A 14,218-nucleotide genomic window follows, 5' to 3' on the forward strand; every position below is an offset into this window, starting at 1 on the left:
TCATAAAAAGAGTGTGGAAATATTTCCTTTTTTTATTTATTGAAGAGTTTAAGAAGGATTGATAGTCATTCTTTTTTTAATGTTTGGTAGAATTTAGCCATGAAGCCATCTGGTCCTGAGCTTTTCTTTGTTGAGAGGTTTTAAATTACTACTTCGATCTCTTTATTTTTTATTGGTCTATTCAGCCTTTCTATTTCTTCTTGATTCAATTGTGGTATGTTCTATATTTCTAGGAATTTATCAAATCCCTAGCTGGATTAGTTTTTTTTTGTAAAAGAGGAAAGACTCAAAATCAGAAATGAAAATGGAGAAGTTACAACAGATGCCTCAGAAATAAAGAAAATCATAAGGGGACTATTATGAACAACTATATGCCAACAAATTGGATAACGCAGAGGAAATGGAATGTATTTCTTGACCATAAACTAACTGAATTAGACTTTAAAGTGACTGAGAGAAGGGTCATATCTTAAGCCTACCTCCTAGTGGAGGACTTTGTCCACATATGCTCAGTAAATACTTAATGAGATCAAAGGTATATAAGATCTTCAAGAACGTAGACATTGAGGAAGTCTGAAGAGTAACTTATCTTTAAACATTACTTTCTTCCTTTCACACTAGCTTCTTTGTTTTCTTCCTATAATAATTGGCATAGAAAAAAAATCCCAGAAGGCAATTCAGAAGTCTCCTAAAGTGATTGCATTTGCAGGCAAAGTTATATCTAAAAATAGAACAGCTCTACTTTGTGAAACCACAGGAAGAGAACTACAATAACATGAAAATACTAAACATAGTGCCTCATACCTTCACATTCTGGGTATTTGTTGACTTGCTTTATGTGGTTGTACTCCATAAACTAGAAAGTTTTAACATAGACATATTTAACATAGACAGATTCCATTGAATCTGTGGTTAAAGTAACTCCCAAATAGAGAAACTCATCAATAATTGTAAATGAATGTTTCATTTTGACCAAAATGATGTTTACACTTATGTTTTGCCAAAACGTAACCTTTATTAGGTTGCTAAGAAAAAATGTTTTGGGCATATACTTTTTGTCTATGTACACTAGGAAGCATCTTTATTCTAGTCTCATACTTAATTGATAGTTTGGCTGGGTGCTTTAAGCTAAGCTGAAATTTGAAAGTATTGCTTCATTATTTTCTAATTCTCAGGGTTATTTTTAAGATAATTCCAACTGCATTCTGATTTCCAGTTACTGTTTATGATCTGTCACGTGTCTGTCACTTTTTGGATCCTCTATTTACATAGGAGTAGCTTCATGTTGTTTTGCAATATCCTGAGAATATCCCTTGTCAAGGATCTGTTTTCATTCATTGTATCAGGAAGGAGTGTGCCCTTTAAAGATGAGAGAGGTGGTAGTGAGCTTCTCAGGAAGAACGAGGAGCCCCAAGGACCCAATTGCTCTGAATAAGACCATCAATCTCATCCTCCCCCTTTTGTCATTAGCTGATGCTTCTAATCACTGTTTTTCAGAGTTTCTGGAGCAAATTGTCAATGCTTTTCTTGCTTTCTCTTCTCTTCTTACATACATATCTTACATTGCCTCAGTTCCACCTTAAGTTAGTTACCAATCTTCCTTTTGATTTCCTTCTTGTAAAATTTTGTTGAAAGGTTTCATCCATTTTTCATCTCTTCCCTAAAACTTTATTCTTCCTTTTGGCCTAAAACTGCACTCTTGTCTTTACTGTCATTTCAATGGGGTTTGAGGGATAGCAGATAAACACAAGAAGCAAACCTATTATGTCTAAACAGATGGTTTAATTTAACTCTAAGGCAAGAACCCGTGAACTTAAACATTGCTAATGCTGGCCTTAAAATACTTTCCATCTAGTCCTCCAAAAAAAGAGGAGGGTAAAGGGTAAAGATACAGAAACTTTTAAAAGAAAAAGTCTTTCTTCAATACCTCCTGCCTTTCTCTATCTCCTACTCCTGTACTTCCTTTTGAAACAGGAAACGTTCCCTTGTCCTCCTAGTAGGGCATGCAATGGGGGTGTGGCTCACTTATTCAGTGCCCAGCTGCTCAAACCTCTAGGGGAGCATACAGACGGGCAGGCTCTGGGGCTCCGACCTCACGGCTGTGTCTAGGGGTAAATGTTTACAGCTCCTGAAGCCCCAGTGGGCATGTGTTACAGGATGCTCTTTTAGTTTTGCTCATTTAGTTTTTCCGTCTATAGGCTTGTGTTAACCAGCTCAGTCCCTCTATGTTGTCGTAAGGACAGAGGGCTTTCTGTATCCTGGGTTCTTGCCTTGGTGTACTAGAAGAATCGGATCACACCTGGGCTTGGAGAATGAGTGCAAGGTTTTATTGAGTGGAAGTAGCTCTCAGCAGATGGGGGAGCCAGAAGGGAGATGGATTTCCTCTGGAGTTAGGGCACTCAGCGGCCCGGGCCGCCTGGGCTCTCCTCTGACTGCCCTGGCCAAACTGTGCTTAGTTCTGCCAGTTGGTGGCCCATCAGCCTGCCAGTGCCTGTTGGTGCATTCCTCTCGAAGTCCAGCTGCCCGTGTGTTCCCCCACCTATATGCTCCTCTCCACGTCCAGGTGCCTCTGTGGGTTCCTCCACTGATGTCCTCCTCTCCACCTCCAGCTAGCTGCCTCTGTCTCTGCCTTGCTAGGGTCTCAGGTGGATGGGGGTGTGGCAGGTCAGAGTGGTCTTGGGAAATGCAACATCTCGGCAGGAAACGCCTGTCCTCACCTAGGTCCATGGGGGTGGAGCCCCAGCCAGGGACCACGCCCTCCTCTACCCAGCAATTCCCTTCCCCACTTCCGTATAACTTAAAGGGTACCATGCTCTTCCCTTCCCAGCACTCCGTGTCACTGTCATATCCCTTTCTCTTCCTAGAAGCTACTTACACTAAACAGGTCTATTGTATTTCTTTTTTACTCCCTGGCATATTTTTCTCCTTCCCATAAATATCTGTAGTAATTTTACTTTATATTGCTTTTTCTCAAGCAAATGTTATTGTATTTATCTAATTTTATGAATATTGGAATGCATATAATCCATGTTAGAAAGATTTATACCACAGAGACAAAATGAATAATATTTTGTATCATATTTGTAAATATCATTTATGTGAACTCTTTATTTCTCTATTCCCAAAGGAGACAAGATATCTCAGAAGAAAGGGACCAATGTGTTTCCTCACTTGACCAAGTAGTGTGCAATGGGAATAGAAATTCAAATATTTTACCAGCAAAACCTCCATTAAAAGTCTCATCCACGCCTAATCTCCTTTTCCTTTACTTCCATCATAAAAGAAACAAACATGAAAATAAATAAGTACAGCCAACATTTCTTACAGCAATAAAACTGTATTAACATTTATACTGTCATTAATAAGGTGTGATACAGAGTGCTAAATGCATATTCACACAGATTTCTGTGGGCTCCAATTCAATAGAGCATTATCCCCACAATGTCATTTTATGCTATTACAAAGACAATTATGCTAAAAAAATAAAAGTGCTATGAAAATATAACTGAGTCATGTAGGCTTCGTATTGTCTAACACCCACTATATAATAATAATAGAACCTTGTAGTTATAGAATTATTTTCTGTAAGGAACTGAAAGAACTTTCTAGGCATAGTTTCAATATGTATATTTCACAAATAAAATAGACATAAAGGATAAAAGTATAAGTTCAAAAAGTGATTTTATTTACTCATCACTTTTTTAATAAGGAAACAATATTTTATAACAAATATTAGGTATTTTATAAATAACTTTAAACAGTATAGAATGCTACCTAAAGTGACATCCATATAACCAATTGTGTTTAAAATAACCAGCTATTAGTAAGTTAGTGATACACTTTACTGTTTGTTTAACTGAATTCAGCCGTCTCCCTTTTCTACCCAACCTTTTCCACCCAACCTTTTCCAGTCCTTCACCTCCTTAGATATCTTGTATTTGAACCTGGCAAACAATTAATGAGCCTTCAACTTAAAATAAAAATCACACTATTTACTCCCTGCTATGTTGCCTGGGCTATGCTGAGTATTAATAATAAGGCCGAAAAAAGCTGGGGAGTCGAAGTCTACTTTGATCATAAATTAAGCAGTGGTTTAATGTGTCCCACATACTAATCTCCATCACAATACCTCTCTACCATTGTTCCATCTTTCATTTTGGAAATTTTAGTGTTCAAATCAGGCCTCCCTTGTCCTCTCTGAATTTCGCATTTGTTCTGTCCCACAGCCTCCAAATGATCAAAACTGCCACTCCTCTTCTTTGGCATGGCAAGGGATGTACCCATTTTCTACTGATTAAATAGATGCTGCTGCAGATAACTGAACTTGAATAATCTCATATTAAAATGACTGATTCTGGTATTAAAATTATAGATTATGATAACTGTAAATGACTGCAAAGCTTTGGAAATCTGCTTAAAAATTTTTAGAAGATCTGCTACCCATCAGGAAAGTAAGACTTAACTTAGTCCTTATTGGGGCAATCATTGGTAAAAAAATAAAATAATTTCATGTTATGTCCTACTAAGTTAAATATTTCAATAACCTGGTTACACACATCTCTTCAGAGCGTTGTATAGTGAGGCACAGAGTTACAGTGATGGGTTACTGCTTTCATTAGTATTTAATTTTTAAAACTCAGAGACAGGTGTTAACTCACTATAACGGCATGGGTTATGATAGGAAGGAATATTGTATCAAACTACTGTCTGAATATAAAGTGCCTACAGAAGTGCCTATAAAAGCACCTTCCAATATTTACAAATCATCAAGTAAATGATTAAGGACCCTTTTAAACATTTTTCTATTTTGCATCTAAATAGTCTCATTCTCCAATCCACTATGAGTTTATTTTTTACTAACTGTAATGTTATTATTTAGTTTTTACTTGTCCATCAAATATCTCTTGTAAATATTACTCCTAAGATACTATCCTCTTAAAGGCGACAACATTGTCTTTCTTGTTCAAAGATATATTCCTAGCTCCTTGCTAATGGTATATATTCAATAAATATTTGTGGGCCAGGCATGGTGGCTCATGCCTGTAATCCTAGCACTTTGGGAGGCCGAGGCAGGCAGATCACTTGAGGCCAGGAGTTTGAGACCAGCCTGGCCAACATGGTGAAACCCCGTCTCTACTAAAAATACAAAAATTAGCCAGGCATGGTGGCACACTCCTGTAATCCCAGCTACTCTGGAGGCTGAGGCATAAGAATCGCTTGAACCCAGGAGGTGGAGGTTGCAGTGAGCTGAGATCACACCACTGCACCCCAGCCTGGGTGACAGAGGGAGACTCTGTCTCAATAAATACATAAATAAGTAAAATAAATATTTGTTGATTGACTGAATGTAGCCCTTGCCCAGGCATCTTGTATATAATCCCTACTAAACATATGATATTTATGAGTTCTAAGTATTTCATTTCCTATAGGCACAGCAGGATTGTGACACTGAAATGGTGTCTTTCCAGTCCAAATTACAGAACCTTAATAAAACCTTTGCTTTACCACAGAGCTAAAGTACAATTTTCCAAATTGAATATGACTTCCCAAAAGAAATAAATGATTAACTGTTGCCAAAATAAAACCAATGTGCTGCATCAAAACTACATAATAAATATATATAAATGCCAGATGGCAAGATAATAATAGTGTTTAATGTTTCTCAGTTTTTACTTTCATGTGGTAAAATGCATTATAATCGTATTTACTATTCGTTGTCATAATAAGTATCAATATCAAATAATGTTATCACAACATTATTATGCTTACCAAAGACAATTACGTACACTATAATTTATTAATTTTTTATTTCCGACAAGTTCTTGGAGACGGAAAGCACCAGACCTGGATTTTGTCCACATTTCTCACTGGATCAAAATTTGTCCTACTTAAGAATCCCAAAATGTTAAAGGTTTTCATGAAACTTTACATCTGTCTTTTACACAAATGCAAAGCTATTAATTTTCTACATTCAAAATGATTAACTATGGGAATTAGTAATATCACTCAAATGCTTCTACTTGACCCTTAGTCTACCTTGGAAGGGCATCCTCAAATTATAAACAACTCTAATTTAGGGAAGAAAAGTAAAACATAAATTTGAGCCTTTTGGAAAACAATACAATCTCTCCAACACTCATTTTAATAAGAATGTATTATATGGGTAATGTCCCTTCTACTAAAATCAAGAAAGAAAATCTCTTGACCCAAAGTTGAAAAGTTAAACCAATCAAGATTCTAACACTAACAGCAATAGCGCTGAAGGATATTTCTTTTGCAGGAATATAAATTTGAGGGACTTGAAACCTGAAAAAGCTGGATTGTGTAATTAGAAAGCAATAAATGTAACTCACCATGATTTAAAAATGATTTTAAAAATTGGGGAAATAATCAGAACACTTTGGAATTATTGTGAACATTTATCTTAACTCCCAATGGCCGCTAGATGGCACCTAGTATTTGGCAACCATAACACTTCTGTATTTCCAGAGCTTAAAATAACTACAGCACCAGGTCAGTTCTGACAGAGCAAAAATTAATCCTGCCACAGACATGTAACACTTCCCTGTCAGATATCTAAATTTAAAATGCATGTGGTTTGCTGGTCACTCAAGAAAATATACAATACCATTTTATTTTTCCCAGGTTTTAAAAGTTTTGCTAAAGGAATTGTGAGATTTAAATTTTCGAATAAGGTACTTGATTTGCATCATTCAAAAGTAGGGATTGGGAGTATTTTGCCCTAGATATGCTCCATTCTTTAAGCATTAGTTTAATTCTGCTGGGGCAAAGTTAAGGTAACATTTAAAATAGATGTTTAAAATTAAATGAGTCCATTGTGACCAACACTACCTTAAAGGGATTTAGAGTAATAGACCCCTTTTTTATCCGTGTATTAATTATTCAATAAACATTTTTGAAAATATATATGACAAAACCTTGTGGTTTGTACAGTAGGCTCTGTATATACTACTGTTTATCTTTTTAGAACACTTCATTGTAAAATAAGAACAAAAATAAAAATAAACTCTACCTATTTAAATGTATGCCTGATGTCTAACAAGCTATCTAGGAGAATGAAAATATTCAAATGATTATAGATTTCATATCATTGATTCAGACATGAATTCAGACTAATAAGACAGATGAAAAAATGATTTTCAGGGTGAAACAGAAAAATAATTTTTAAGTGTTCAATTGAGATGTTAATCTTTTTTCACCTGGTTGTATATTTTCATACTGAGGAGCAATATAGGTGTGGAACAGACATGAGAAGAGAAATGCTTTCAAAAACACCAATTTCTCTTTCGAAAACACCAATTTCTCCTGCTTTCAAAAACACCAATTTCTCTTGTGTCTCTGTTTTCTTTCTCCTATAATTCTTGTTTTTCCTTCTCATTCTATTTTGCTATCTTATTTCTATTGCCATCCTCTTCTCACTCTATCCATTCTCTTCTCACTCTACACAGTCCCCAGGGTCCTCTCTGTTCCTGGATTTGGCAAACACCATACACACTAGTGATATTCCTGTTTTTCCTGTTCAGCTTTCTCTTCTGAGAAATATATACGTGCTTACTTGGCATACCACCTGTATATTTGATAGACAACTCAAAATCACTTGGCCCAAAACTGAAATTTTAGTCTTCCCACTCAACCTCCTCACCCTTTTGAATAACTCACTCATTTACTCACCCAAGCCACAAACTTGGAATTCCTTAGATTTTTTCCCTTTTCCTCACATTTTATATCAGTAAGTTCTGTAGTCCTTATCTTTTAAAAATTTCCTACACCTTATCCCTCTTCTTTGTTACATTTAAACCCTTACTATTGCAAGTAACATCTTCCTTCCTTGATTGACCACCTACCTGCTTCTGCAAATTCATCTTCGTTCTCTGTCTAGACTCTAAAGTTGCAGTTGACTGAAATACTCAGATTTCTACTCCTTTTTATCTCTCCTGCCTCTTTACACTGGCTGTTCCCTTTGCCTATCCACTGCCTTGATTTTTCTGCCTGGTAAATTTGTATTCTTTCTTCAGAGTTCAGCACATCTGTGAAGTTTTCCTTGGTATCACCAGATAGAGCTGGCCATGGTACCAAGTTAACACCTTGACACAATGACCATCTGAGCTTTAGTTTTGTCATAAAGAAAATGGACAAATCATGCATCTACATAATGGCATTTTTTTTTTTTTTTTTTTATTATACTCTAAGTTTTAGGGTACATGTGCACATTGTGCAGGTTAGTTACATATGTATACATGTGCCATGCTGGTGCGCTGCACCCACTAATGTGTCATCTAGCATTAGGTATATCTCCCAATGCTATCCCTCCCCCCTCCCCCGACCCCACCACAGTCCCCAGAGTGTGATATTCCCCTTCCTGTGTCCATGTGATCTCATTGTTCAATTCCCACCTATGAGTGAGAATATGCGGTGTTTGGTTTTTTGTTCTTGCGATAGTTTACTGAGAATGATGGTTTCCAATTTCATCCATGTCCCTACAAAGGATATGAACTCATCATTTTTTATGGCTGCATAGTATTCCATGGTGTATATGTGCCACATTTTCTTAATCCAGTCTATCATTGTTGGACATTTGGGTTGGTTCCAAGTCTTTGCTATTGTGAATAGTGCCGCAATAAACATACGTGTGCATGTGTCTTTATAGCAGCATGATTTATACTCATTTGGGTATATACCCAGTAATGGGATGGCTGGGTCAAATGGTATTTCTAGTTCTAGATCCCTGAGGAATCGCCACACTGACTTCCACAATGGTTGAACTAGTTTACAGTCCCACCAACAGTGTAAAAGTGTTCCTATTTCTCCGCATCCTCTCCAGCACCTGTTGTTTCCTGACTTTTTAATGATTGCCATTCTAACTGGTGTGAGATGATATCTCATAGTGGTTTTGATTTGCATTTCTCTGATGGCCAGTGATGATGAGCATTTCTTCATGTGTTTTTTGGCTGCATAAATGTCTTCTTTTGAGAAGTGTCTGTTCATGTCCTTCGCCCACTTTTTGATGGGGTTGTTTGTTTTTTTCTTGTAAATTTGTTTGAGTTCATTGTAGATTCTGGATATTAGCCCTTTGTCAGATGAGTAGGTTGCAAAAATTTTCTCCCATGTTGTAGGTTGCCTGTTCACTCTGATGGTAGTTTCTTTTGCTGTGCAGAAGCTCTTTAGTTTAATTAGATCCCATTTGTCAATTTTGTCTTTTGTTGCCATTGCTTTTGGTGTTTTGGACATGAAGTCCTTGCCCACGCCTATGTCCTGAATGGTAATGCCTAGGTTTTCTTCTAGGGTTTTTATGGTTTTAGGTTTAACGTTTAAATCTTTAATCCATCTTGAATTGATTTTTGTATAAGGTGTAAGGAAGGGATCCAGTTTCAGCTTTCTACATATGGCTAGCCAGTTTTCCCAGCACCATTTATTAAATAGGGAATCCTTTCCCCATTGCTTGTTTTTCTCAGGTTTGTCAAAGATCAGATAGTTGTAGATATGCGGCATTATTTCTGAGGGCTCTGTTCTGTTCCATTGATCTACATCTCTGTTTTGGTACCAGTACCATGCTGTTTTGGTTACTGTAGCCTTGTAGTATAGTTTGAAGTCAGGTAGCGTGATGCCTCCAGCTTTGTTCTTTTGGCTTAGGATTGACTTGGCAATGCGGGCTCTTTTTTGGTTCCATATGAACTTTAAAGTAGTTTTTTCCAGTTCTGTGAAGAAAGTCATTGGTAGCTTGATGGGGATGGCATTGAATCTGTAAATTACCTTGGGCAGTATGGCCATTTTCACGATATTGATTCTTCCTACCCATGAGCATGGAATGTTCTTCCATTTGTTTGTCTCCTCTTTTATTTCCTTGAGCAGTGGTTTGTAGTTCTCCTTGAAGAGGTCCTTCACATCCCTTGTAAGTTGGATTCCTAGGTATTTTATTCTCTTTGAAGCAATTGTGAATGGGAGTTCACCCATGATCTGGCTCTCTGTTTGTCTGTTGTTGGTGTATAAGAATGCTTGTGATTTTTGTACATTGATTTTGTATCCTGAGACTTTGCTGAAGTTGCTTATCAGCTTAAGGAGATTTTGGGCTGAGACGATGGGGTTTTCTAGATAAACAATCATGTCGTCTGCAAACAGGGACAATTTGACTTCCTCTTTTCCTAATTGAATACCCTTTATTTCCTTCTCCTGCCTGATTGCCCTGGCCAGAACTTCCAACACTATGTTGAATAGGAGCGGTGAGAGAGGGCATCCCTGTCTTGTGCCGGTTTTCAAAGGGAATGCTTCCAGTTTTTGCCCATTCAGTATGATATTGGCTGTGGGTTTGTCATACATAGCTCTTATTATTTTGAAATACGTCCCATCAATACCTAATTTATTGAGAGTTTTTAGCATGAAGGGTTGTTGAATTTTGTCAAAGGCTTTTTCTGCATCTATTGAGATAATCATGTGGTTTTTGTCTTTGGCTCTGTTTATATGCTGGATTACATTTATTGATTTGCGTATATTGAACCAGCCTTGCATCCCAGGGATGAAGCCCACTTGATCATGGTGGATAAGCTTTTTGATGTGCTGCTGGATTCGGTTTGCCAGTATTTTATTGAGGATTTTTGCATCAATGTTCATCAAGGATATTGGTCTAAAATTCTCTTTTTTGGTTGTGTCTCTGCCCGGCTTTGGTATCAGAATGATGCTGGCCTCATAAAATGAGTTAGGGAGGATTCCCTCTTTTTCTATTGATTGGAATAGTTTCAGAAGGAATGGTACCAGTTCCTCCATGTACCTCTGGTAGAATTCGGCTGTGAATCCATCTGGTCCTGGACTCTTTTTGGTTGGTAAACTATTGATTATTGCCACAATTTCAGAGCCTGTTATTGGTCTATTCAGAGATTCAACTTCTTCCTGGTTTAGTCTTGGGAGAGTGTATGTGTCGAGGAATGTATCCATTTCTTCTAGATTTTCTAGTTTATTTGCGTAGAGGTGTTTGTAGTATTCTCTGATGGTAGTTTGTATTTCTGTGGGATCGGTGGTGATATCCCCTTTATCATTTTTTATTGTGTCTATTTGATTCTTCTCTCTCTTTTTCTTTATTAGTCTTGCTAGCGGTCTATCAATTTTGTTGATCCTTTCAAAAAACCAGCTCCTGGATTCATTGATTTTTTGAAGGGTTTTTTGTGTCTCTATTTCCTTCAGTTCTGCTCTGATTTTAGTTATTTCTTGCCTTCTGCTAGCTTTTGAATGTGTTTGCTCTTGCTTTTCTAGTTCTTTTAATTGTGATGTTAGGGTGTCAATTTTGGATCTTTCCTGCTTTCTCTTGTAGGCATTTAGTGCTATAAATTTCCCTCTACACACTGCTTTGAATGCGTCCCAGAGATTCTGGTATGTGGTGTCTTTGTTCTCGTTGGTTTCAAAGAACATCTTTATTTCTGCCTTCATTTCGTTATGTACCCAGTAGTCATTCAGGAGCAGGTTGTTCAGTTTCCATGTAGTTGAGCAGCTTTGAGTGAGATTCTTAATCCTGAGTTCTAGTTTGATTGCACTGTGGTCTGAGAGATAGTTTGTTATAATTTCTGTTCTTTTACATTTGCTGAGGAGAGCTTTACTTCCAACTATGTGGTCAATTTTGGAATAGGTGTGGTGTGGTGCTGAAAAAAATGTATATTCTGTTGATTTGGGGTGGAGAGTTCTGTAGATGTCTATTAGGTCTGCTTGGTGCAGAGCTGAGTTCAATTCCTGGGTATCCTTGTTGACTTTCTGTCTCGTTGATCTGTCTAATGTTGACAGTGGGGTGTTAAAGTCTCCCATTATTAATGTGTGGGAGTCTAAGTCTCTTTGTAGGTCACTGAGGACTTGCTTTATGAATCTGGGTGCTCCTGTATTGGGTGCATAAATATTTAGGATAGTTAGCTCCTCTTGTTGAATTGATCCCTTTACCATTATGTAATGGCCTTCTTTGTCTCTTTTGATCTTTGTTGGTTTAAAGTCTGTTTTATCAGAGACTAGGATTGCAACCCCTGCCTTTTTTTGTTTTCCATTGGCTTGGTAGATCTTCCTCCATCCTTTTATTTTGAGCCTATGTGTGTCTCTGCACGTGAGATGGGTTTCCTGAATACAGCACACTGATGGGTCTTGACTCTTTATCCAACTTGCCAGTCTGTGTCTTTTAATTGCAGAATTTAGTCCATTTATATTTAAAGTTAATATTGTTATGTGTGAATTTGATCCTGTCATTATGATGTTAGCTGGTGATTTTGCTCATTAGTTGATGCAGTTTCTTCCTAGTCTCGATGGTCTTTACATTTTGGCATGATTTTGCAGCGGCTGGTACCGGTTGTTCCTTTCCATGTTTAGCGCTTCCTTCAGGAGCTCTTTTAGGGCAGGTCTGGTGGTGACAAAATCTCTCAACATTTGCTTGTCTATAAAGTATTTTATTTCTCCTTCACTTATGAAGCTTAGTTTGGCTGGATATGAAATTCTGGGTTGAAAATTCTTTTCTTTAAGAATGTTGAATATTGGCCCCCACTCTCTTCTGGCTTGTAGGGTTTCTGCCGAGAGATCCGCTGTTAGTCTGATGGGCTTTCCTTTGAGGGTAACCCGACCTTTCTCTCTGGCTGCCCTTAACATTTTTTCCTTCATTTCAAGTTTGGTGAATCTGACAATTATGTGTCTTGGAGTTGCTCTTCTCGAGGAGTATCTTTGTGGCGTTCTCTGTATTTCCTGAATCTGAACGTTGGCCTGCCTTGCTAGATTGGGGAAGTTCTCCTGGATAATATCCTGCAGAGTGTTTTCCAACTTGGTTCCATTCTCCACATCACTTTCAGGTACACCAATCAGACGTAGATTTGGTCTTTTCACATAGTCCCATATTTCTTGGAGGTTTTGCTCATTTCTTTTTATTCTTTTTTCTCTAAACTTCTCTTCTCGCTTCATTTCATTCATTTCATCTTCCATTGCTGATACCCTTTCTTCCAGTTGATCGCATCGGCTCCTGAGGCTTCTGCATTCTTCACGTAGTTCTCGAGCCTTGGTTTTCAGCTCCATCAGCTCCTTTAAGCACTTCTCTGTATTGGTTATTCTAGTTATACATTCTTCTAAATTTTTTTCAAAGTTTTCAACTTCTTTGCCTTTGGTTTGAATGTCCTCCCGTAGCTCAGAGTAATTTGATCGTCTGAAGCCTTCTTCTCTCAGCTCGTCAAAATCATTCTCCATCCAGCTTTGTTCTGTTGCTGGTGAGGAACTGCGTTCCTTTGGAGGAGGAGAGGCGCTCTGCGTTTTAGAGTTTCCAGTTTTTCTGTTCTGTTTTTTCCCCATCTTTGTGGTTTTATCTACTTTTGGTCTTTGATGATGGTGATGTACAGATGGGTTTTCGGTGTAGATGTCCTTTCTTGTTGTTAGTTTTCCTTCTAACAGACAGGACCCTCAGCTGCAGGTCTGTTGGAATACCCTGCCGTGTGAGGTGTCAGTGTGCCCCTGCTGGGGGTGCCTCCCAGTTAGGCTGCTCGGGGGTCAGGAGTCAGGGACCCACTTGAGGAGGCAGTCTGCCCGTTCTCAGATCTCCAGCTGCGTCCTGGGAGAACCACTGCTCTCTTCAAAGCTGTCAGACAGGGACACTTAAGTCTGCAGAGGTTACTGCTGTCTTTTTGTTTGTCTGTGCCCTGCCCCCAGAGGTGGAGCCTACAGAGGCAGGCAGGCCTCCTTGAGCTGTGGTGGGCTCCACCCAGTTCGAGCTTCCCGGCTGCTTTGTTTACCTAAGCAAGCCTGGGCAATGGCGGGCGCCCCTCCCCCAGCCTCGCTGCCGCCTTGCAGTTTGATCTCAGACTGCTGTGCTAGCAATCAGCGAGATTCCGTGGGCGTAGGACCCTCCGAGCCAGGTGTGGGATATAGTCTCGTGGTGCGCCGTTTCTTAAGCCGGTCTGAAAAGCGCAATATTCGGGTGGGAGTGACCCGATTTTCCAGGTGCGTCCGTCACCCCTTTCTTTGACTCGGAAAGGGAACTCCCTGACCCCTTGCGCTTCCCAGGTGAGGCAATGCCTCGCCCTGCTTCGGCTCGCGCACGGTGCGCACACACACTGGCCTGCGCCCACTGTCTGGCACTCCCTAGTGAGATGAACCCGGTACCTCAGATGGAAATGCAGAAATCACCGTCTTCTGCGTCGCTCACGCTGGGAGCTGTAGACCGGAGCTGTTCCTATTCGGCCATCTTGGCTCCTCCCCCCAT

The sequence above is a fragment of the Homo sapiens genome, chromosome 7, assembly GCF_000001405.40.
Source record: "Homo sapiens chromosome 7, GRCh38.p14 Primary Assembly".
In the NCBI taxonomy this organism is placed as follows: Eukaryota; Metazoa; Chordata; class Mammalia; order Primates; family Hominidae; genus Homo; species Homo sapiens.